Source organism: Homo sapiens, chromosome 15, assembly GCF_000001405.40.
Source record: "Homo sapiens chromosome 15, GRCh38.p14 Primary Assembly".
NCBI lineage: Eukaryota > Metazoa > Chordata > Mammalia > Primates > Hominidae > Homo > Homo sapiens.
The window spans coordinates 99,366,875-99,392,257 of NC_000015.10; the positions used below are offsets into that span (position 1 = coordinate 99,366,875).

General features: G+C 39.7%; 1 protein-coding gene across 20 annotated transcripts in view, besides 1 other annotated feature; it reads left to right on the forward strand.

Annotated features, from left to right (window-relative positions):
• LRRC28 (leucine rich repeat containing 28) overlaps window positions 1-23,855 on the forward strand; it is a 139,249-nt gene extending 115,394 nt beyond the window's left edge. For 18 of the 20 annotated variants that reach the window (NR_135755.2, NR_135759.2, NR_135757.2 and 15 more), the window contains one exon: window positions 19,156-23,855. Coding sequence is in view for 13 of the 20 variants with exons in the window: in NM_001321675.2 (NP_001308604.1) it covers window positions 19,156-19,228 (73 nt within the window). In the remaining 7 variants the exon portion in view is untranslated. Of the gene's footprint in view, window positions 1-17,714 lie in introns of all 20 variants that reach the window. The other 2 variants (XM_011521220.3, XM_047432145.1) reach the window with 2 other exon arrangements.
• Window positions 4,872-4,931: an enhancer, noted in NCBI's record as "active region_10151". NCBI's record gives its function as "activates an Ori minimal core promoter by ATAC-STARR-seq in GM12878 lymphoblastoid cells {active_cell/tissue: GM12878}" and the evidence as "EXISTENCE:reporter gene assay evidence [ECO:0000049][PMID:35858748]".
• Window positions 23,856-25,383: the final 1,528 nt, after the last annotated feature.

Below are 25,383 nucleotides of genomic sequence, written 5' to 3' on the forward strand. Positions count from 1 at the left end.
CACTGAGATAAAAAAAAATGTTTTCTCCTGCTCTTACATAGTCACTCAATACTGAATATAACACTGAATGTTTCACTTCTTGTCACCAAAATTTGTGGGAAGTTCTCCCCACCAGCAACCAGTCAGTCAGTTCTCCAGTAGACACTAGCTGGGTGTCCTGTAAGGCCATCAGTTTCTAGACACTATCTTACTGGAGATAGCATTAGATCCCACAGGTTAAGGGCTCAGTCCCACAAGACTGCCTCCACTTAAGATGCTAGTTGCAAGTTGTAGATTGTCACCTGTACTTCTGACCAACCAGCTATAAAATCAGGGTTCCCAATACCTCCTTCTCATGTTCAGTTAATTTGTTAGAGTGGCTCACAGAGCTCATGGAAACACGTAACTGTTTTATCTGTTTTATTCTGCTATGACAGAGTAATTGAGATTGGGTAATTTATAAAGAAAAGAGGTTTATTTGGCTCATGCTTTTGGAGCCTGGGAAGTCCAAGATCGAGTGGCCACGTCTGGTGAGGGCCATCTTGCTGCATCATAACATGTCAGAAGGGCAGCAGGCACAAGAGACAAAGAAAATCAGACCAAACTTGTCCTTTTCATCAGGAACCCCCTCCCACGATAACTAACCCACTCCTGTGATAATGGCACTCATGAGGGCAGAGCTCTCATGACCTAATCACCTCTTAAAGGCCTTACCTTCTAATATTGTCATATTGGCAATTAAATGTCAACATAAACTTTGGAGGGGACATTCAAACCATAGCACTTGAGTTCACTGGTTTATTATAAAAGATACAGGTGAACAGCCAGATAGAAGAGACGTATAAAGCAAGGCTTGTGGGAATAAATATGGAATTTTCATGCCTTCTCTGGGCATGCCATCTTCCAGCTATCCCAGAGCTCTCCAAACCCAGTCCTTTGGGCTTTTATGGAGGCTTCATTACATAGACATGATTAATTAAACCATTGATGATTGGTGATTGGCACAACTTTCAGCCCCCCTCCCCTCCCCAAAGGTCAAGGATGGGGCTAAAAGTCCCAACCCTCTAATTGTGTCTTGGTCTTTCTGGTGACCAGCACACATCCTGAAGCTACCCAGGGATTCCCAAGCCACCAGTTGTCTCATTAGCATATGAATGATACTCTAATCACTTAGGAGATTTCAGAGTTTTAGGAGCCATATGTCAGGAAACAGGGTCTAAGACTAAATATATATTTCACAATACCACATCCCCCAAAACTCATGTCCTCACATGCAGAATGAATTCACCCCATCCCATGCCCAGAAAGTCCTAAATCTATTTCAGCATCAACCCTTAAGTTCAAAATCTCATCTTAAATATCTAAATCAGGTATGGGTCAGGACATAATTCATCCTGGGGCAAAACTCTCCAGCTATGAACCTATGAAACCAGATAACAATTTATCTGCTTCTAGCATGTAATGTTGGGACAGGAATAGGATAGACATTCCTATTCCACAAGTGAGAATGCTAGAAGGAAAAAAAGGGGTCACAGGTCTCAAGTCTAAAATCTAGAAGGTGAAATTCCATTAGATTTTAAGGCTTAAGAATAATCCTCTTTGGCTCCACACTCTGTTCTCTGGGCCCAGTGGGGTGGCAATCACACCCCCTTAGTCCTGGATGAACCAAAGAGGTTGCCCTGCCCCTGGAATTGAGAAGGTTGCCCTACCCTTGGGCTTTTTCTTCTCTTTAAGTATAACATATGTTTGCATCTAGGTAGTTCTTTTGGCCATCCTGCCTAAAATCCCAGAAGTCTGACAGCATTTCTTCATCTCATCCCATTTCTGTCCTGTTCAGTACAAGCTAGCAGTATTTTTGCTGAAATAGTTGATGATCCAGAAGTCACATACCTAATCTGTTTGCAAACCATTGTCCAGCCACACTGTTGGTGTTCTCTTTCATGTTTTACAATATGAATAGGCTGAGAATTCTCCAAATCTTCAAGTTCTGGTTCCTTATGCTTAATAATAATGTGCTCAATTCATCTCTCTCCTCTTGTATTTTACTCACATCTATAAGCAGCAAGAAGAAACCAAGCTGTGCCTTCAACACTTTGCTTAGAAATCTCCTCAGCCAAATATCCAAGTTATCACTTACAAATTCTGCTTTCCATCCAACAGAACACAATTCACTCAAGTCCTTTGCTACTTTATAACAAGGATCACCTTTCTTCCAGTTTCCAATAATACATTCCTCATTTGCAGTCTGAGACCTCACCAGAAGCATCTTTAACATTTTTATTTCTAGCAACATTCTGTTCCTGACAATGTATTTTCTAAGACATTAGAAACTTTATAGCTCCTGCCTTTCTTTTGTGAGCCCTCACTAGATTCTTCTTTATTTCTCCCAATAATCTCTTTTCTATCACTCACCTCAAAATTCTTCCAGCCTCTATTCATTACTTCATGTCAAAGCCACTTCCACATTTTTAGGTATTTGTCACAGCAGCATCCCACTTCCTGATAGCAAAATTTCTCACATTGAAAGAGAGAGAATGACTGATTTTAAGAAATTGGCTCACACAATTGCAAAGGCTGGCGCGTTCAGAACTGGGGCAGACTGGCGGCCTGGACGTTGAGGTTAGAGTTGAAGTTGCAGTGTTGAGTCTGAATTCTGCGGGGCACCAGGCTGGAAACTTAGGCAGGGATTCTTTATTGCAGTCTTAGGGAGAATACCTTCTACTTTGTTGCTCTTAAGGCCTTCAACTAATTGGATGAGGCCCACCCACACTATGGAGGGTAATCTGCTCAACTCAGAGTGTACTGATTTAAATATTAATCATATCTTTAAAAAATGCCTTTACAGCAACAGCTAGGCTAGTATTTGACCAAACAAATGGGCTCCATAACCTAACCAAGTTGACACATAAAATTAACTAAAAGGTCTTACTTTAATCACCAGGGTATTTTGAGACAGGAACTGTAGGTAGGCCGGTAACCCAATGGTTCTTCCCATATTGCTGGGTTAAGCTTTAGCCATAACGGGTAGTACAGAGTGCATTCAGGCTTTATTGCTGTGTTATCTCTGCTTTTGTGTAATAAGCCATGGCGTGCAATGGAAGAACCAGTAGTCCTGGGGATAAAGAGATCTAGTTTGGAAGTTGAGCTATTTTACTTTTCTTAGTACTGTAAGATAGGTACTATCATTAAGTTGAATCATACAAGTCATATGCGTATGGTCCAACCTGTGATATCCCTTTTACAGGGCAAACAGGTACAGGAAGATTGCAAACTGGGCCAAGGTGTCATAGCAGAGCTGGGATTTGAACCCCAATAGTCTGGCTCCAAATCTGTGTTTTAGCCACTGTGCTGTTCAATTAGCTACTAAGTGGACCAGCATATTAGCATAGAGAAATCTCGAAATAAATAAACTTGTAAATAATGAGTTTAAATATACTTTCAACTCATAAACTCATAAATACAAAATTAAATATTCTCTAACATTATGAACAAGGTACTTTCGAAATATATGTGTATGTGTACGTATGTACATATACACACATGCACACGTGTGTGTGTGTATGGTTTGGGTGTTTGCACTAAAAAGTCCAGAAGGATGGAGCTCCAACTCTTTACTATGAGTATCTTGGGAAGGGGGGAATGTGGAGTTATGAGGTAGTCAGGTGGAAGGAGAACTTTCATTTTCAACTCCATATACTTGGGATATAATTTTACAAATCTACAAAACAATATTTGAAAAAAAATTATTTCTAGAGGCATTGAAAAAGCCCTTTGCCTAAAACTGTATACATATTAAAAAAGAAAAGGAAAGATTGTTATGGCAAATTTTTTTGTTCAATTACAAATGTTATTAAGCAAGTTACATAAAAGATTGCATAGTGTGATCCAGTCTTTGTCAAGCAATTATAGGTGTGAATATATGTGTATATCTATGTGCACATATATAGTAAATACATGCACATACACACATATTGAAACAATTGTGTATATATAGAAAAAGTCTTGGGAAGGACTCATACACCAAAGTAACAGTGGTTTCCTTTGAGTAGTGTTAAATTTTTGTAACAAACTGGTATTTGCTTTAGAAATTAAAAATATTTTTAATTATTAAAACATTAGTATGCCAAGTGCCTGTAATCCCAGCTACTGGGAGGCTGAGGCAGAATTGCTTGAACCTGGGAGACAGAGGTTGCAGTGAGCTGAGATCGCGCCACTGCACTCCAGGGTGGGTGACAGAGCAAGACTCTCTCAAAAACAAAAACAAAACATTAGTATGCCAATGGCTTCTTGTAAAAAAAATTTTCAGGTTACTTCCAAGTAACTCAAAAGACTCATCCTCTTGTTTATTAATTTATCCAGTTGGTTAGCAAACACACTTCGAACATCTACTGCCAGCCGGGTGCTGTGGTAGGTGAGGGCTCCATGGGCTTCAATCAGGCCACTTTCAAGCTCAGATTTACATAGCTTGGTTCTTTCAGGAATTCTTGGTCTTCTGGGCCGGAGTGATTCTATGAGAGTGCCACATGTCTGAGTGATTGTTGTGCCTTGAGGTAAAGACCTGTTTGTTAGAGGGCCTGCAAAACTGACTTGGTCTTACAGTTTCCTTTTGTCTTTCAAAACAACTAATACTCCCTTCTCCCACTCACTAGTAGTTTATTTTTAAAATAAGCTCTTTTATATAATTCTTATCTGGTTTCCTCACTTATGAAATGTTTCATATTTCCTTACCCTTGCTTTTTGTGGCTATTGCTTCTTTGAAGCCAAGTAATATCAGTCACACCAACATTATTTGCATACTCATTTTGGGGATTTTGTTTTTCCTTTTGGCAGAAGCCTATTCGTTGGCACCCTCTTAAGGTGACTTATGAAATTTCCCACAAGTGAAATAGTCTTCAAAAATTTAAGTAAATTGTTCTTAGCTGTTTCTTCCTCCTTACAACATTCAAAAATTATTTGTTGACCATCTGTCATGGGCTGTGCTCTGCAGTAGGTACTGAAAATTCTGCTTTGACCCCACCACCTAATTCTTTTCTCATACATATCTCATTCCTAATGTCTAGGGCAATGACACAATCAAGAAAGAAGTCTGCTTGACATTTCTGTTTCTGTTTCTGCACACAGAATCTTCCCATGAGAGACAGTCACTACTAACATAAATGCAACAAGCAGATACAATATGTTATTAGATGATTCTTGAGTAAGTTAATATGTACACAAGCTCAGGATTTTAACTTTGTCTTATAAATACTATTTTTTCTTTTGGCTTGACTTCCTGTACGAGTCAAATATATGCTTTGTGTTTTTAATCAGGAAACATATTTGCAGAAAAAATCGCACATTTCTTATGATTTTTGTGGGCTCCAATATGTGCCAACAGCATTGTGATTCGTTCTTTTAAGGAATAGTGGTATTTCTGTATTTTAAAACCAAGCTGAAATGCTCTTTCTTCTGCCTTGCCTGTAAATATGCTCAAAGATTCTAAAGCAACAAATGTCATGTCTGATGTTCTTTGTAGAATTTATCAGCATCTTTTTCTTAACTGTAGAGCTTATTGCTTAGCTCAAAGTGTTTCCCCAGACCTCTGATGTCTCTGGTGCCACAGTTCTGGATTTTAAAGGACTTAACCAACATGAATCCATTCTTAAGGCAGCAGATTGGTTGGTGTACTTGTAATAACTCAGATTATTAATACAACAAGCAGATACAATATGTTATTAGATGAGTCTCCCAAAAGCAAATAAGTACACAGCCTTGGGATTTATTTGTTGCACAAATATGAAACCTCCAGGTTACTCCACCCCCGTGAGCTTCATAAGTAGTTAATGATGATCCAAAGGACATTATCCTTTAATGAGTGTAAATCCCGTATCTTCATGGAATTGAATGCTTTTGCTTGGGAGCTGTTTTAGTCCGTTCTTATGCTGCTGTGCAGAAATACCCAAGACTGGGTAATTCATAAAGGAAAGAGGTTTAATTGACTCACAGTTCCACATGGCTGAGGAGGCCTCAGGAAACTTAACAATCATGGCTCGAGGGGAAGCAAACATGTCCTTCACATGGCAGCAGGAGAGAGAACTGCTGAGCAAAGAGGGAAACGACCCTTATAAAACCATCAGATCTCATGAGAACTCACTCACTATCACGCAAACAGGAGCATGGGGGTAACCACCCCCCCATGATTTAATCACCTCCCACCGGGTCCTTCCCACGACACATGGGGATTATGGGAATTACAATTCAAGATGATATTTGGGTGGGGACGCAGCTAAACCATATGAGGAGCTTTATTTTTAAAAACTAAATGGCTGTGGTATGAAATGTATCCCTTGTATGAATGATTTGCATTTAACATAATTATCTTTTGCTCCTTGTGTTAAGTTTCATCAGCGAATCCCCCAAAATGCACTTTTTATGTCTGTGGTTCTTTTCAATTGTGATTTATTCAAATGTATACATCCTGGTGTAGCATAAAAATTATTGGAACTAGGGTTCTAACCAACTTCATTTTTTAAAAAAAATTATTTTTAAAATTTTTTTCATTTCTAATTTTTGTGGGTACATAGTAGATATATATATTTATGGGGTACTTGAGATGTTTGATACAGGCATGCAATGCATAATAATCACATCATGAAAATCACATTCCCTCAAGCATTTATTCTTTGTATTACTAACAATGCAATTATACAATTTTAGTTACTTTAAAATGCACAATTACTGACTGTAGTCACCCTGTTGTGCTATCAAATACTAGGTCTTATTCATTCTTTCTGATTACTTTTTGTACCCATTAACCGTTACCCAGCCAACTTTAATTTTTTAAAATTAGAGGTAATGCAAAAGTATCTAATAACTCAAAATTTACAGAATTTCCTGAGTTAAGAAAAAAATTCAAAAGTGATGCTTGCCTTTTCGCTTTCCTAAAGATGTCATTTGAAAACAAGTCTTCTGTTTTGATAAAGTTAAATTAATCCATTTCAATTTTATAGTAATGCTTTTTGTGTTCTAAGAAATCTTTACCTACCCCCAAGGTCATGAAGCCTATATAAATCTCTGTTAATATAATTGTATTATAATTCTCTGTTCCATTCACTTGATCTGTGTCTATCTCTTAGTCAATAGCAAACTGTCTTAATTACTATAGTTTAGATTATGGTAGGCCTTAATATCAGGTTGAGTGATACTTCTACTTTGCTTTTCCCTTTCAGGATTTTTTTAGCTATTCTAGGCCCTACACTTTTCCACTGATTTTTAGAATAAATTTATCTTTGTCTCCAAAAAGCCTTGTTGAGATTTTCATAAGAATTGCTTTAACTTTATAGATTAATTTGGAAACGGTTGACATATATGCTATGTTGAGTTTTCTAATGTATGAACATGATGCGTCTCTCCATTTATTTAGGTCTTTTACTTCTTTCGTCAGCATCTTAAATAATTTTCAGCATATAAATCATTAAACGTTTTCCTAAGTTTATATCAAAATATTTCACTTTTTTGTGTGCTTGTAAATGATACTGTGTTTTAAAATTTCAATTTCCATGTGTTCATTGTTAGCATCTGGGAATGTTACTGATTTTCATATTTCGACTGTATATCTTACAGCCTTGCTGAACTGGCATATTAGTTCTAGGAGTATTTTTTGTAGATGCCTTGGGATTTTCTGCATAGAAAATCATGTCATGCTGTCTGCTAAGGAATAGTTTTATTTCTTCCCTTCCAATCTGTATGCCTTTATTTCTTTTTCTTGCCTTATAGCAGTGGTTAGGACTTTGAGTACTATGCTGACTAAGGTTGTGAAAATAGACATCCTTGCCTTGTTCCAATCTCTTTTTTTTTTTTGAGATGGAGTCTTACTCTGTCGCCCAGGCTGGAGTGCAGTGGCATGATCTCGGCTCACTCTGCCTCCTGGGTTCACACCATTCTCCTGCCTCAGCCTCCCAAGTAGCTGGGACTACAGGCGCCCACCACCACGCCTGGCTAAATTTTTTTTTTTTTAGTAGAGACAGGGTTTTACTGTATTAGTCAAGATGATCTCGATCTCCTGACCTCGTGATCTGCTCACCTCAGCCTCCCAAAGTGCTGGGATTACAGGCATGAGCCACCGCACCCAGCTGCCTTGTTCCCAGTCTTAAAGGGAAAACACTCAGTGTTTCACTGTTAAGTATAATGTGTTAACTATAATAATACATATAATGTGTTAAGTGTAATATAATTTTAATCTGTTAAGTATAATGTGTTAACCCTACTGATAAGCAGGGGTTTTTGGTATGTTCTCTTTATTAAATTAAGGAAGATTTCCTCTCTATGTAGTTTGCTGAGAGTTTTAATCAAGGAAAAGTGTTCTATTTTGTTAAATGCTGCTTCTGAGTCCATTGATATGATCATATGGTTTTTCTTTTGCCTGTTGATATGGTGGGTGATACTGATTATCAAATATTGAACTAGCCTCACACTCCTGGAATAACTCCCACTTGATCATGATGTGTAATTCTTTTTGTACATTTCTTTAATTTGTTAATACTTTGTTGAAGATTTTAAAATCTTTGTTCATGAAAGATACTGGTCTGTAATTTTCTGTTTTTGTATTATCCTTGTCTGGTTCTGGATTCAGGATAATAATGGCCTTATTAAATGAGTTAGGAAGTGTTCTTCTTCTTCTGCTTTTTCCTGAAGAAATTGTGTAAAACTTTTCAAAAATTTATCTTTTTACTCTTTGTTAGAATTCTCCAGTGAAACTATCTGGGCAGGGAAGTTTGTATTCTTTTTTAAATTATAAATTCAATTTATTTAATGGTTGTAGGACTATTCAGGTTGTCTATTTCATCTCAGTTGAGTTTTGGTAGTTTGTAGTTTTCTAGACACTGGTCTGTTTCTTTGAAGTTGTCAGATTTATTAGTATAAAGTTGTCCCTGGTATTCCTATACATCTTTTTAATGGCTGTAGGATCTGTGGTGATATCACCTCCTTCATTTTTAATATTAATTCGTGTGTTCTCTCTTTTTGTCAGTCTTGGTCAAGATTTATCAGTTTTATTGTTATTCATAATCCTAGTGATTGATTTCATTGGTTTCTCCTCTTTATTATTTACTATTCTTCTGCTTGCTTTGGGCTTATTTTGTCCTTTTTTTAGGTTTTTAAAAGCTAAAAGAGGACATTTATAGCACTAAGTACTTACACTAGAAAAGAGGAAAAGTCTCAAATCAATAATCTAGGCTTCTTTGTAATGTAAGCATTTAGTACTATAAATTTCCCTCAGCACTACTGTCTCTAGCTATGTACCAAAATCTTTGATTTTTGAATCGTATTTTCATCTTCTTTCAGTTTGTGTATGTTTTAAGTTCCTTTGAGATTTCCTTTTTGACCTATGGAAGTGTGGTCATTTGATCCATGGGTCAAAGAACTGTGGTGTTTAATTTCTATGTGTTTGAAGATTTTCCTCTTGTCTTTTTGTTATTGGTTTCTAGTTTGATTCTATTATAGTCAAAGAACATACTCTATGATTTTTCCTTGCTTTAAACTTAAATTGTTCTTCATTCTGTAGTTTCCTGGTAGAAATATGAGTTATTGATTTTAGACCTTTCTTTTCTAGTATGTGTGTTTAGTACTGTAAGTTTTCCTTTAAGTACTGCTTTGGCTGCATCCTATTACTTTTTGATGACTAGTATTTTATTTTCATTTAGTTGAAAAAAAATTTTTTATACTGTAAGTTCTAGGGTACATGTGCACAACGTGCAGGTTTGTTACATATGTATACATGTGCCATGTTGGTGTGCTGCACTCATTAACTCATTATTTACATTAGGTATATACCTAATGTACTCCTAATGCTATCCCTCCCACTTCCCCCCACCCCACAACAGGCCCTGGTGTGTGATGTTCCCCTTCCTGTGTCCATGTGTTCTCATTGTTCAATTCCCACCTATGAGTGAGGACATGTGGTGTTTGGTTTTCTGTCCTTGTGATAATTTGCTGAGAATGATGGTTTCCAGCTTCATCCATGGCCCTACAAAGGACATGAACTCATCCTTTTTTATGGCTGCAGAGTATTCCATGGTGTATATGTGCCACATTTTCTTAATCCAGTCTATCATTGATGGACATTTGGGTTGGTTCCAAGTCTTTGCTATTGTGAATAGTGCCGCAATAAACATACGTGTGCATTTGTCTTTATAGCAGCTTGATTTATAATCCTTTGGGTATATACCCAGTAATGGGATTGCTGGGTCAAATGGTATTTCTAGTTCTAGATCCTTGAGGAATTGCCACACTGACTTCCACAATGGTTGAACTAGTTTACAGTCCCACCAACAGTGTAAAAAGTATTCCTATTTCTCCACATCCTCTCCAGCACCTGTTGTTTCCTGACTTTTTAATGATCGCCATTCTAACTGGTGTGAGATGGTATCTCATTGTGGTTGTGACTTGCATTTCTCTGATGGCCAGTGATGATGAGCATTTTTTCATGTGTTTTTTGGCTGCATAAATGTCTTCTTTTGAGAAGTGTCTGTTCATATCCTTTGCCCACTTTTTGATGGGTCTGTTTTTTCCTTGTAAATTTGTTTGAGTTCTTTGTAGATTCTGGATGTTAGCCCTTTGCCAGATGAGTAGATTGCAAAAATTTTCTCCCATTCTATAGGTTGCCTGTTCACTCTGATGGTAGTTTCTTTTGCTGTGCAGAAGCTCTTTAGTTTAAATAGATCCCATTTGTCAATTTTGGCTTTTGTTGCCATTGCTTTTGGTGTTTTAGACATGAAGTCCTTGCCCATGCCTATGTCCTGAATGGTATTGCCTAGGTTTTCTTCTAGGGTTTTTATGGTTTTAGGTCTAATGTTTAAGTCTTTAATCCATCTTGAATTAATTTTTGTATAAGGTGTAAGGAAGGGATCCAGTTTCAGCTTTCTACATATGGCTAGCCAGTTTTCCCAGCACCATTTATTAAATAGGGAATCCTTTCCCCATTTCTTGTTTTTGTCAGGTTTGTCAAAGATCAGATGGTTGTAGATGTGTGGCATTATTTCTGAGGGCTCTGTTCTGTTCCATTGGTCTATAGCTCTGTTTTGGTACCAGTACCATGCTGTTTTGGTTACTATATCCTTGTATTATAGTTTGAAGTCAGGTAGCATGATGCCTCCAGCTTTGTTCTTTTGGCTTAGGATTGTCTTGGCAATGCAGGCCCTTTTTTGGTTCCATATGAACTTTAAAGTAGTTTTTTCCAATTCTGTGAAGAAAGTCATTGGTAGCTTGATGGGAATGGCATTGAATCTATAAATTACCTTGGGCAGTATGGCCATTTTCATGATATTGATTCTTCCTATCCATGAGCATGGAATATTCTTCCATTTGTTTGTGTCCTCTTTTATTTCGTTGAGCAGTGGTTTGTAGTTCTCCTTGAAGAGGTTCTTCACATCCCTTGTAAGTTGGATTCCTAGGTATTTTATTCTCTTTGAAGCAATTGTGAATGGGAGTTCACTCATGATTTGGCTTTCTGTCTGCTATTGGTGTATAAGAATGCTTGTGATTTTTGCACATTGATTTTGTATCCTGAGACTTTGCTGAAGTTGCTTATCAGCTTAAGGAGATTTTGGGCTGAGACGATGGGGTTTTCTAAATATACAATCATGTCATCTGCAAACAGGGACAGTTTGACTTCCTCTTTTCCTAATTCAGTACCCTTTATTTATTTCTCCTGCCTGATTGCCCTGGCCAGAACTTCCAACACTGTGTTGAATAGGAGTGGTGAGAGAGGGCATCCCTGTCTTGTGCCAGTTTTCAAAGGGAATGCTTCCAGTTTTTGCCCATTCAGTATGATATTGGCTGTGGGTTTGTCATAAATAGCTCTTATTATTTTGAGATACATCCCATCAATACCTAATTTATTTAGAGTTTTTAGCATGAAGGGCTGTTGACTTTTGTTGAAGGCCTTTTCTGCATCTATTGAGATAATCATGTGATTTTTGTCTTTGGTTCTGTTTATATGATGGATTACATTTATTGATTTGCATATGTTGAACCAGCCTTGCATCCCAGGGATGAAGCCCACTTGATCATGGTGGATAAGCTTCTTGATGTGCTGCTGGATTCGGTTTCCCAGTATTTTATTGAGGATTTTTGCCTCAATGTTCTTCAGGGATATTGGTCTAAAATTCTCTTTTTTTGTTGTGTCTCGCCAGGCTTTGGTATCAGGATGATGCTGGCCTCATAAAATGAGTTAGGGAGGATTCCCTTTTTCTGTTGATTGGAATAGTTTCAGAACGAGTGGTACTAGCTCCTCCTTGTACCTCTGGTAGAATTCAGCTGTGAATTTGTCTGGTCCTGGACTTTTTTTGGTTGGTAGGCTATTAATTATTGCCTCAATTTCAGAGCCTGTTATTGGTGTACTCTGGGATTCAACTTCTTCCTGGTTTAGTCTTGGGAGGGTGTATGTGTCCAGGAATTTATCCATTTCTTCTAGATTTTCTAGTTTATTTGCGTAGAGGTGTTAATTATAGTATTCTCTGATGGTAGTTTGTATTTCTGTGGGATCGCTGGTGATATCCCCTTTATCATTTTTTATTGCATCTGTTTGATTCTTCTCCCTTTTCTTCTTTATTAGTCTTGCTAGCAGTCTATCAATTTTGTTGATCTTTTCAAAAAACCAGCTCCTGGATTGATTGATTTTTTGAAGGGTTTTTTCTGTCTCTATCTCCTTCAGTTCTGCTCTGATCTTAGTTATTTCTTGGCTTCTGCTAGCTTTTGAATGTGTTTGCTCTTGCTTCTCTAATTCTTTTAATTGTGATGTTAGGGTGTCAATTTTAGATCTTTCCTGTTTTCTCTTGTGGGCATTTAGTGCTATAAATTTCCCTCTACACACTGCTTTAAATGTGTCCCAGAGATTCTGGTATGTTGTGTCTTTGTTCCCATTGGTTTCAAAGAACATCTTTATTTCTGCCTTCATTTCGTTATGTACCCAGTAGTCATTCAGGAGCAGGTTGTTCAGTTTCCATGTAGTTGAGGAGTTTTGAGTGAGTTTCTTAATCCTAAGTTCTAGTTTGATTGCACTGTGGTCTGAGAAACAGTTTGTTGTAATTTCTGTTCTTTTACATTTGCTGAGGAATGCTTTACTTCCAACTATGTGGTCAATTTTTGAATAAGTGTGATGTGGTGCTGAGAAGAATGTATAGTTGATTTGGGGTGGAGAGTTCTGTAGATGTCTATTAGATCCACTTGGTGCAGAGCTGAGTTCAATTCCTGGATATCCTTGTTAACTTTCTGTCTCGTTGATCTGTCTAATGTTGACAGTGGGGTGTTAAAGTCTCCCCTTATTATTGTGTGGGAGTCTAAGACTCTTTCTAGGTCTGTAAGTACTTGCTTTATGAATCTGGGTGCTCCTGTTGTGGGTGCATATATATTTAGGATAGTTAGCTCTTCTTGTTGAATTGATCCCTTTACCATTATGTAATGGCCTTCTTTGTCTCTTTTGATCTTTGTTGGTTTAAAGTCTGTTTTGTCAGAGACTAGGATTGCAACCCTTGCCTTTTTTTGTTTTCCATTTGCTTGGTAGATCTTCCTCCATCCCTTTATTTTGAGCCTGTGTGTGTCTCTGCACATGAGATGGGTCTCCTGAATAAAGCACACTGATGGGTCTTGACTCTATCCAATTTGCCAGTCTGTCTTTTAATTGGAGCATTTAGCCCATTTACATTTAAGGTTAATATTGTTATGTGTGAATTTGATCCTGTCATTATGATGTTAACTGGTTATTTTGCTTGTTAGTTGATGCAGTTTCTTCCTAGCATCTATGGTCTTTACAATTTGCCATGTTTCTGCAGTGGCTGGTACCAGTTGTTCCTGTCCATGTTTAGTGCTTCCTTCAGGAGCTCTTGTAGGGCAGGCCTGGTGGTGACAAAATCTCTCAGCATTTGCTTGTCTGTAAAGGATTTTATTTCTCCTTCACTTATGAAGCTTAATTTGGCTGGATATGAAATTCTAGATTGAAAATTCTTTTCTTTAAGAATGTTGACTGTTGGTCCCCACTCTCTTCTGGCTTGTAGAGTTTCTGCTGAGATCCGCTGTTCGTCTGATGGGCTTTCCTTTGTGGGTAACCCGACCTTTCTATCTGGCTGCCCTTAACATTTTTCCCTTCATTTCAACTTTGGTGAATCTGATAATTATGTATCTTGGAGTTGCTCTTCTCGAGGAGTATCTTTGTGGTGTTCTCTGTATTTCCTGAATTTGAATGTTGGCCTGCCTTGCTTGGTTGGGGAATTTCTCCTGGATAATATCCTGCAGAGTGTTTTTCAGCTTGGTTCCATTCTCCCCATCACTTTCAAGTATACCAATCAGACGTAGATTTGGTCTTTTCACATAGTCCCATATTTCTTGGAGGCTTTGTTTGTTTCTTTTTACTCTTTTTTCTCTTAACTTCTCTTCTCACTTCATTTCATTCATTTGATCTTCAATCACTGATACCCTTTCTTCCAGTTGATCAAATCGGCTACTGAAGCTTGTGCATTTGTCATGTAGTTCTCGCGCCATGTTTTTCAGCTCCATCAGGTCATTTAAGGACTTCTCTATATTGGTTATTCTAGTTAGCCATTCGTCTAATCTTTTTTCAGGGTTTTTAGCTTCTTTGCGATGGGTTCGAACTTCCTCCTTTAGCTTGGAGAAGTTTGATCTTCTGAAGCCTTCTTCTCTCAACTCGTCAAAGTCATTCTCCATCCAGCTTTGTTCCGTTGCTGGCGAGGAGCTGTGTTCCTTTGGAGGGGGAGAGGTGCTCTGATTTTTAGAGTTTTCAGCTTTTCTGCTCTGTTTTTTCCCCATCTTTGTGGTTTTATCTACCTTTGGTCTTTGATGATGGTGACTTACAGATGGGGTTTTGGTGTGGATGTCCTTTCTGTTTGTTAGTTTTCTTCTAACAGTCAGGACCCTTAGCTGCCAGTCTGTTGGAGTTTGCTGGAGGTCCACTGCAGACCCTGTTTGCCTGGGTATCAGCAGCAGAGGCTGCAGAACAGCAAATATTGCTGAACAGCAAATGTTGCTGCCTGATTGTTCCTCTGGAAGCTTCATCTCAGAGGGGTACCCAGCTGTGTGAGGTGTCAGTCTGCCCCTACTGGAGGGTGCCTCCCAGTTAGGCTACTCAGGGGTCAGGGACCCACTTGAGGGGGCAGTCTGTCCGTTCTCAGATCTCAAACTCCGTGCTGGGAGATCCACTACTCACTTCAAAGCTGTCAGACAGGGACATTTAAGTCTGCAGAGGTTTCTGCTGCCTTTTGTTTGGCTATGCCCTGCCCCGAGAGGTGGAGTCTACAGAGGTAGGCAGGCCTCCTTGAGCTGCGGTGGGCTCCACCCAGTTCGAGCTTCCTGGCTGCTTCGTTTACCTACTCAAGCCTCAGCAATGGTGGGTGCCCCTCCCCCAGCCTCACTGCCACCTTGCAGATGGATCTCAGACTGCTGTGCTAGCAATGAGCGAGGCTCCGTGGGCATGGGACCCTCCCAGCCAGGCATGGGATATAATCTTCTGGTGTGCCGTTTGCTCAGTTGGAAATGCAGAAATCACCCATCTTCTGCATCTCTCACACTGGGAGCTGTAGACTGGAGCTGTTCCTATTCGGCCATCTTGGAACCGCCGAAAATTTGTTTTATTTCTCTTCAGATTTCTTCTTTCACCTAGATATTTAGAATTAAGTTGTTTAATTTCAAAATATTTAGGAATTTTCCAGCTATCTTTTATTGATTTCTAGTTTAATTCCATTGTAGTTTGAGAACATAATTTGTCTGATATCTTTTAAATTTTTTAAGGTGTGGTTTTATGCCCAGATTTTGTAAACATTCTCATTTAAGTGTTCCTACCTGTTTATGGCTCTAGCAGCTCTGTCCAGGTGGGCAAATCTCAGCTGTGACTTGGTATATGGTCCATGGGCATTTGAAAAAAACAACGTAGATTCTGCTGCTGTTGGATAGTGTTCTGTATATGTCAGATTTTTAATTTGTTGTGTTATTCAGTTTTTCTATACTTATACTAATTTTCTATCTAGTATATCAGTTGCTGAGAGTAAGGTATTGAAGTCCCCAATTCTATTTTTGGATTTATCTATTTCTCCTTTCATCTCTCTTATTTCTTAACAGCTTTATTGAGATAATTCACGTATCATACAATTTCACCCATTTAAAGTATACAACTCAGTGTTTCTTAGTACATTCAGCGATATGCGCAACCCTCACCCTAATCCATTTCAGAACATTTTCTCACCCATACGGAAACCCTGAACATTTAGCTCTTGCCCCTGTCCCTCTGTCCCCATCATACCTAGCCCTAGGCTTATCTACTTTCTGTCTCTGTAGATTTTCCTGTCTCTGGCCTTTGGCTTGGGGGCATGGGCTTTACTTGGAGCCAATTGCATCTGTGCCTGTTACTGATTCTGGATTGGAGGCTTCTACAGCATCCTATTTAAGATATAGAGGGCAATAAGGTACCCAGGGAACGTGCCAGCACTGCGTTGTTCCTCAAGTCCCACTGTCCCTAGGCTGTCTGCCTTGGTTCTCCCTTTCAAAGCTTGCCTGTGCTTATTTGTTGTATTTTGTCCAGAGTGTTTCAGGTGGAGGGGGGAAGACCTGGGAAGAATGGGGCCTACCCCATCTTGGCAGAACCAGAAGTTCCACCTAAATATATTTTCCCCCAAAATCCAGAGGGATCCACCAAGTGTGTGTCTGTTTCTCTGTAGTGGGCAGTTCTGGATACAACTCTTCTTTTCCATTTGAAACTGCACTGATGTAGTAGGCATATGAACTCTTGCAGGATTTTTCTCTCTCACCTCTGATAATCGTATATCTATGAAGGCATCAAGGGTGCTTGCTACTTCCAGTTTGTATTCCCCCTTGCAAATACATTTAGGCTTAGGGAAGAAAAAGACTTCTTGGCCCTCCTGGAGATTTTCAGGAGGTGGCTGAGCAGGGTCCGCCACCCTGGGTCCTCTCTGCATTCCCATTTATCCTCCCTCTAGAATCTGCAAGGGGAGTCTAGCATAGCTGTCTCATTAGCTGTTGGCCTGCAATGAGTCAAGGCTTCTGTTAACCATTCCCAGGTGCTTAATGTATCATATTCTGAGGTATAGGTGAAGTACCCCTGTTGGCCTGATCCAATCTTACATTCATTCTTGCTGGCCAATGTACTTAGAATCCGTTTCCATGCGTGCCCTCCAGGTTCCTGCTAATATAATTTGACAAGATCCTGCAACTCCATCAGCGTGTATGTGATTTCCTCCAGGAGTAGACCTTTCAATGATCTCTGGATCATGCTAGGATTTTACCCTTTTTGGCCCTAGAGGCGATGAGTATTGATGGTGGTGGGTCCTGAAAAGTTTTTAGGTAACCACCCCAGGGGAAGCCATTGAAACATTTTTACCCAAGGGAATGCTAGTTTTCGTAGAAGGTGGAAAGGTCTGTTTCTGATATGAAGAAATGTTTAGAGATGCTAGGGAGTCAAGGCTCTTAGATTTGTGCCTGTCTAGAGGCTCCCATATCAAGTCTCAAGTTCCCACTCTTTCTCAACAGCACCTTTTACCTTAGCATAAGAGACTTAGCATAAATATATCTTTATCTGGCATGTGATCCTGAAACCTCTACATTTAGCCTCAGCCATGTCCCTTGCAGCTTCATAAAATAAGGATTCACTTAAGGCCACCATAAAAACTTTCTGATTCTCTGTCCATGCCTTGAGTTGAGATCTCAAGGCACTAAGCTTATTGTTTTCGTTTCAGAATCTCTTCAGCACAGTCAAAAGAAGCCATCTCACCCCACAAACTTGGAATCACCGTGATGCCATAGCAGTCAAGTGCCACAGCCACTTGCTTTCCCAATGCCTTTCCCTCCTGTTACCTTCTGTTCCAGTGATATTTGAGTAACCATGATGCCACCACATGCTACAGATTAGCAGGGTCCCACTTCTCTCTAGTAAGAAAGCCATTCGTGTACTCGCCAGCCCAACTTCAGAATCTCACTTGGATGAGCTGCTTCGTTGGGCCACTTCTCATAACACATACTGTATTCATCAGGGCTGGAAAACAAAATGCACATTTGGCTGAGACTTTGAAGAGAAATTAATGAAGAAGGACAATTGGCTGAAGTTTGGGCAGGGTGGAGAGCACCCAGAAGGATACTGAGGCACGCAGGGACTCACAGCAGTAGGAAGCCCTTACCATGCTTAATCCTTGGGCCTGAAGGGCAAAGGGAGCTCTCTCTGGAGCCTGGCGAGAACCAGAGGTAGCAAAGGGGGCCTGCCTGATAGGAGCTCCAGTCCCAGAGGTAGAGAGGGAGTGGGGTGGAAATACTCAACCTTCCTTCTTCCTGCCCTTCAGCCCCCTGCTGGTGCCTCCTGCTGGTGCCTCTCGCTGGCCTAACCAGAAGCTAGAGTTGAGGCAACTTTGCTGGTAAAGTCTACAGAGGTCCCCTTCCTGGGCCACAGGGAAAGGCGGACTGTGTTGGGGGTGAGGAAATAGAAAACAATCAGCACAGGGGGTCTTGTGGAAACAACAAGAGAGTCTTCTCCCTCTACCAGAGGATAGCACTTCTGGCAGGAAAACAAGGCATCTAATAGCTGGAGCTGTCCAGAGTGGGTCAGAGGCCCCCTGGGGCTCATGACTCACGCACAAAGGTGCCCAAACCTCTGATATGTGGGAAGACCTTTGAACTGTATTATTCAGATTCTGAAATGACCTCTACGAGCAACCTATGTGTATGCGTACATTTGTAGGATAAATTCCTTAAAATTATGTTGTTTAAGCTCTGTGGTATATATGTGTTCTGGCTAAATTGGAGACATTTTCTGTTACATGATTTTTATAATGGACTTCAATTCTGTGATTGCGTTGTTGGTTCTAGAAAGCAGAGTTCGAAACGTAATGTGGAAAAGGCATTTGTTTTTTTTTTTTTTCTTAGTTTCTACTTTAGGGATAATATATCTTCTGAACGCTGCTATTAAAATGAACATTCAAAAAATAAATAAATAAAATGAACATTCACATGTACATACTTCACCTGATTCCAGTGCTCAGTTTGAAAAGGAAATTTAAATTTCTATTATGCAGTTTGTTGACCATGGCTAATCCTCCATTTTAACAAAGAAAAAAGTTTCCAGCAGAAAGAATCAGAGACTTTAATCTTGAACTCACAGCGTTCTTCTCTCCCTTTTTCCCCTTCCAGGAAGACAACTGTTAGTTTTGTGGCTTACTGCTGCTCCACCCAGTGTCTGCAGACTTTTGACCTGCTGAGTTGATAAACACTCAAGAACCTCAGGAGCGCTGCCAGCTTGACACTGGGGAATCCAGCCAGTCCAGCACACTCTTCCATCCTGTCCTGTCCAATGCGGGGGCACTGCAGAACTCTCTAGAAATGTCATGATTGAGCTTCAGAGCTAAAATGCCTTCACCCTTCCCCCAAGTTGGAATATATCCTCCCCCAAATTAAGGACCCATTTGTCTTCTGTGTTTTTCCTTTTTATGTGAGTGTGTCTTTTACAGAAACCATTTAGATTGATGGGCCTCCCCAAATCTAATTTAAAGCAAGTTTCCGGTCCTTGGAGAACAGTGACTTGATCATCTAGCCAGATTCCCTTTTGAACACACATACCTTCAGTGATGCTTCCTCTCCTCTCCCCTCCCTTGCTTTCCCCAGAGAGTTATTTCCCTGAGACCATGTTCTCCACAGTGTCTCCAGTGGAAACTTGTCAGTTTTTGAGGAGTTTCAGCAAACCCCGTGGCCTCAATGGTCTTGAGTAGCAGGGTGGGGCGCCTGAGTTGGCAGCAAAGTGAGGCTCCCATGGAGGCTCAGTGAGGGTCCCAGAGCACACACCCTCTGGAAAGTTCCAGCCTTGTTTATACGTTCTACAGTGTAGCAACAGACTTTTGTGAGGGATTTTAAAAACAAAAATGTAGATTGTAATGAAATACACTTCCTGTTTTTTAAAAGTGTTTGCAGAAAAATGATTTTTGAAGTTTTTAAATTTCCTGATAAGATTTTTTTTATATGAGAAGAATTTGAGGAATATTTGAAGCTTTACAAGATCTGATTTTTTTCTTTCTCAATATAAAGTTTCCATACAATGAGAAAGGGGGAGAAAACACACATTGAAATAAGACCTCCGTGTTCTTTTTTGATGGGTTTATGATTCAGTTTATACTGACTTTGAAATATTTTTGTCACATGTGAAAGGCTTCAGCTACTTCCACTACTGGTTTTTTTTTGTTGTTGTTGAGACGGAGTCTCGCTCTGTCGCCCAGGCTGGAGTGCAGTGGCGGGATCTCGGCTCACTGCAAGCTCCGCCTCCCGGGTTCACGCCATTCTCCTGCCTCAGCCTCCCAAGTAGCTGGGACCACAGGCGCCCGCCACCACGCCCGGCTAATTTTTTGTATTTTTAGTAGAGACGGGGTTTCACCGTGTTAGCCGGGATGGTCTCGATCTCCTGACCTCGTGATCCGCACGCCTCGGCCTCCCAAAGTGCTGGGATTACAGGCGTGAGCCACCGCGCCCGGCCCACTACTGGTTTTTAACAGGATGATTCAAAGTACAGCCCGTGCACATTTACTTCGTCACCTGGTGCACCACACTGTCTTCATGTTGGCCCTCGTTTCTTGTATACTTAGCTTACTGCCCAGATGCAACTGAGAAAATACAGGAAAAGCAGGTCCAAATTCAGCCTTCGACTTCTGCAAAAGTCCATAAACAGAAAGTCTGTGAGCCTCCACCCTGCCAGAAAGAACTCTTCATGAAGAAGTCACGTATTTGCTCTTCCTTTCAAAGGATGGCATTTTAATGTTGCTTTGCTGCCAGATGTTCATCTGCTTGCTGTGAAGTGATTCTTTTTTTAAAATGTTTTTTAATGATGTAAGTTTTCTAAAAGGCAGGGCTGAATGGAGAACCAAGAATTTGCTTGGTAGAAAAATTATTTTTTTTTAATTTCAGACTTATCAAAAATTTGGTTGAGGGAATTTTTATTAGCTGCCCTGACTTTATAATGCTACGCTCTTAACAGTGCCAAAAATCCTACATAGTTACTGACAAATGTGTGATCTTTTTACAGTCACAACACCTGCTGCCCGGAAAGCACACCGTCCACGTAGAATGGAGAAGGCAGAAAGTTACCGTGTGTTCCCACTGTATCTGCACTGTTCTTACTTCCTCTTGTCCCTTTTCATATCTTGGTCTATTCAGCCTTAACATTTCAAAGGCTTATAGTAAAATAGGAACTGAAGATCTGTATCAAAATGTAACACTTTCATCCTTTGGAATAATTGAAGTTTAACATAACCTCTACATGTATATAAGTTAGCTGGTGAAAATGTGGCATGAAACTTCACAATTGTGCTTCAGGCCTAAGTGACTGCTACCTATGATTTAAGTGACAGTAAATGTCTTGCTACATTTTTCTATTTCATCCTCTACAATCATATGTCATGGAATGGAGCTATGAAATGTGCTAACTTGGTATTCAGGATTCTCATTGTGATAAGGTGATACATTAGTTTTACCTTGTTTGAAATTTTACAAAAATGCTTACAATCCAGGCATTCTTTCTCTACCTATTATGAACTACGGTGTGTTAAACAACAGCAGTGGGCTGGGCAGACAACCTTTGGGCAGTCTCAACCTTAATCCTTGGGTACAGCACCTGAACTTAATTGATGAGAAGTGGAACTTAAGTGGTTTCCCTGGTGCTGTTCATTATGGAAATTTTATGCTGGATTTATCGATGTCATTCTTAATCTTTTGATACTATAAAGGAGTCTTACCAACTGGAGAAAATTTGCCTACATGCTATATATTTGAATTGTGTCCAAAGCTTTGCAGAAAAGCAAATCTGAAGTTATTATATATGTTGTTTTCTTGAGCAACAGTTACACTAGGTAGAAAAGTATTCACACAATAATAGTAATGCAAAAAAAGTGAGCTACTTGGAAAGTATCATCTCTGTTCAGGTAAGTTTACTTCAGTGAACTCTTGTGTGGTTAGCGATAAGTTTTAAAGTCCAGGATAGCCTCATGAGCATAGGCCTTCCTATGAAGTAGTGCAAAGGGGGCCGATTTTAGTGGATTACCCTATCAGTGTTCTTCAGTATGTCCAATTGTTATCATACCAAAAACCTTAATTACATAACATTGTGTGGATGAAATGCTGCATCTTCAGTTAATACATGTTTTGAGCACATTCTTAAAATACATAATAATTAAATGATCCCTATTCAAAAGAACCCTGGCTTGGGTGGAGGATCCACTCTGGCTAACGGATAAGAGTGATGAACTTCTTTGTTACCTGACCCTTCTCTTCTGGAAAAGTGAGGTGTACATTAAACATCTTTTGGTCACCGTGCCTCACTAAGACCTTTCACATTCCAGCTTGTCCGACTAGTGTAATGTACCTCTCACTTCTGTTTTACGTTGAGCATTACGAATTAAAATCTTTACAGTCTAGGGGGAAAAAAAGGCTTCAATACCAGTTGGCTTATGAGGCTCTGCATATAATTTTCTCTAAAATATGTAACTATTTTGTAGTCTGTGGGGACTTTCAAAGCCAATTTTTAAAATTAGTAGTAGTAAAGGTTTTTCCCTTTCCTGAATGAAAAATCAGAAATTCTAATCTTTGCTATAAAGTACTTAAACACAATACATTGCCTCAGCATAAATAAAAACATTTTTATTAAGATGATTTATGAACATGGATTTCTAACTGGACCAACACTAATGTTGCAACCTGATAAAATTTGAGATGTAAATTCATTTCACAGACTCATAAACACACTCTCTTTAAGACTCTTCTTTAAATGGATCCTTACATTACCCTGCCTGTTTTATTATGCCTTCATTTTTGTGGTTTTCATTCACTCCTGCTTGCTTCTATTGAGGTTCTCCTACATTTCCCAGAAACTCAGTGAATATCTTGCCTTTTCTTCAAACAAAGGGGGTTTTTATAAAGTTTGTATTTTTGAAACTAGCTCTATGTCTATCTAAAAATCAAGTCTCGGCAGTGGCTCATGCCTATAATCCCAGCACTTTGGGAGGCCGAGGAGGGCAGATCATCTGAGGTCAGGAGTTTGAGACCAGCCTGGCCAGCATGGTGAAACCCCATCTCTACTAAAAATACAAAAAATTAGCCAGGCGTGGTGGCGCGCACCTGCAGTCCCAGCTACTCGGGAGGCTGAGGCAGGAGAATTGCTTGAACCCGGCAGGAAGAGGTTGCATTGAGCTGAGATCACGCCATTACACTCCAGCCTGGGCAACAGAGCGAGACTCCGTCTCAAAAAAAAATCATTCAAGTTTCACTGTGCCTACAGTGAGGAGCTACCTCCTTGTGTCATCAGCTAATAGATCTGAAAGTGATGCCGGTGTCTCTAGGAAAGGAATTGATCATAGCCAAGTGACTGACATTCTCTCGGTCAGGAAAAGAGCTTGCTTCACAGCCTTTGAAGTATGACTGTATGTGTGGTCCCCTTGTACTTTGGAGACAGAAGGTACTGGCAGCGAGTGTGGTGGATGGGCAGAAGGTGTAGCATTCGGAGATTATTTCTGTATGTAATTAAGAGACTTTCAAGGGTTAGCCAGACTTTTTTCCACTCAAGTGTGGATTATCTTTGCTACCTGTGTTAAAGAATATCAGGTTTTGTTTCTTATTGTGATTTTTGAGTCTAAATGATCCAAGATTTTTAAAATAGATACATAATGAAATCCAGGCCTCTGAAAAATTATGGCAACATTCATTTGGAGTGTGGCTAAAAACTCATACTTTATCCAATTTGGTTGCCTCTCTCAGTTACTGCAGTTTATAGAATAATTGAGCTTGAACCATGTGAATGCTCAGAATGTCAATGGTGGAGTATTTATTCAAGAGAAATGGCTGAATCTCGATACGAACAACGAGTTTTGTGGTGTTTTAACTTGCCCTATTCCTATCTCCCCCTTCCGTCTCTGTTGTATCCTTGAAAACCAACAGTATACAATGAAGGTGAAAAGTAGCAGCCTGGAAGCCACTAGAGGGGGCAGAATGGGGTTAGAACTCCTTCAAAGCCTCATTCCCAGAGAATTGTCATTATTTGACCTGGCAGGCAGGTCCCTGGAAGACCTCATTTGCAAGACTGTCTTTATTTTACCGGATTGGAGCTTGCCAGGTGTGAAAAGCCTTTTTCCCAGGGACATTAGTCAAGAGAGACTCAGAGGCAATTGGTTAATTTTGTGGTTGCCTCAAGTGGTGGCTAAGCTTTGGAGCAGACAATAGGCTAACCAAAAACGTAAAAGGAAAAGCTTGGGAATGAGATGTCCATAGGGACCTTGAAAAGCTCTGGTATTCTTGGGAATTCAGATGGTCATGTGTATGTGTAGAGCTTTGCATATGCCAAGGGTTATACTCCTGCTCAGGAAAGACTTAAGAACATCTTGAGCTGTCACCATCGGTTGACCCTGACACACAAGCAGAAAGTGAGGCCAAAGGCAGCTTCCTTCCTGTCGTCTTCCTGGCTCAGTGTTGAAGGGGTGCTCCAACATGCACCCAGAGCCCTTAGCACAGACTTGGAGATGTAGCACAGTAAGAAAACTCCCTTAGTGGCATTTAGGGAAATTTCTGTCCAATCATTAGCTGACCACTAAACAACCCTAGCAGAGACTTCAGTATCCACGCACTATAAAGAATATAGACTTTACTGAATTAGTTCAGAATAGTCACTAAACAAGCCAAAAACCCAGCAAGTACATCAAACCCTTAGCAAGGAAATAAAAAGCTAGGTATGATTTCCAGAGTTGCCACATTGTTCTTTGAAATGTCCAGTTTTCCACAGAAAAATTATGAGACACATAAAGAAGAAAGTATGTTCCATACATGGGAGGAATAAAAAATAGACACCTGAGGAAGTCTAGACATTGGATTTTTAGATGAAGACTTTAAATTGGCTATTTTAAATAGGTTCAGAGAACTAAAGAAAAATAATGTGTAAAGAACTAAAAGTATGAAAATGTCTCACTAAATAGAAAATGAAAAATTATTTTTAAAAGAACCAAATATAAATCATGAAGTTGAAAATACAATAACTGAAATGAAAAATTCATGAGAGGAACTCTATCTAGTCTGAGAAACAGAAAAAAGAATAAAGAAAAATGAATAGAGCCTCAGAGAGCTGTGGCACACCATCATGCATACCAATATATGCATAATTGGAGTCCCAGACGAGAGGAGAGAAAGAGGTAGAATATTTTAAAAAAAAATAATGGCCAAAGACTGAAATTTGATGAAAAGCATTGATTTACATACCCAAGAAGCTCAATGAACCTTAAGTAGTATAAACTCAAGAGATCCGTGCCTGGATACAAAATCACACTGTGTACCAAAGCATCTTGGAAGCAAAGAGAGAAGTGACTCGTGTACTAGGGATCTTCATCAGAAACTATGGAG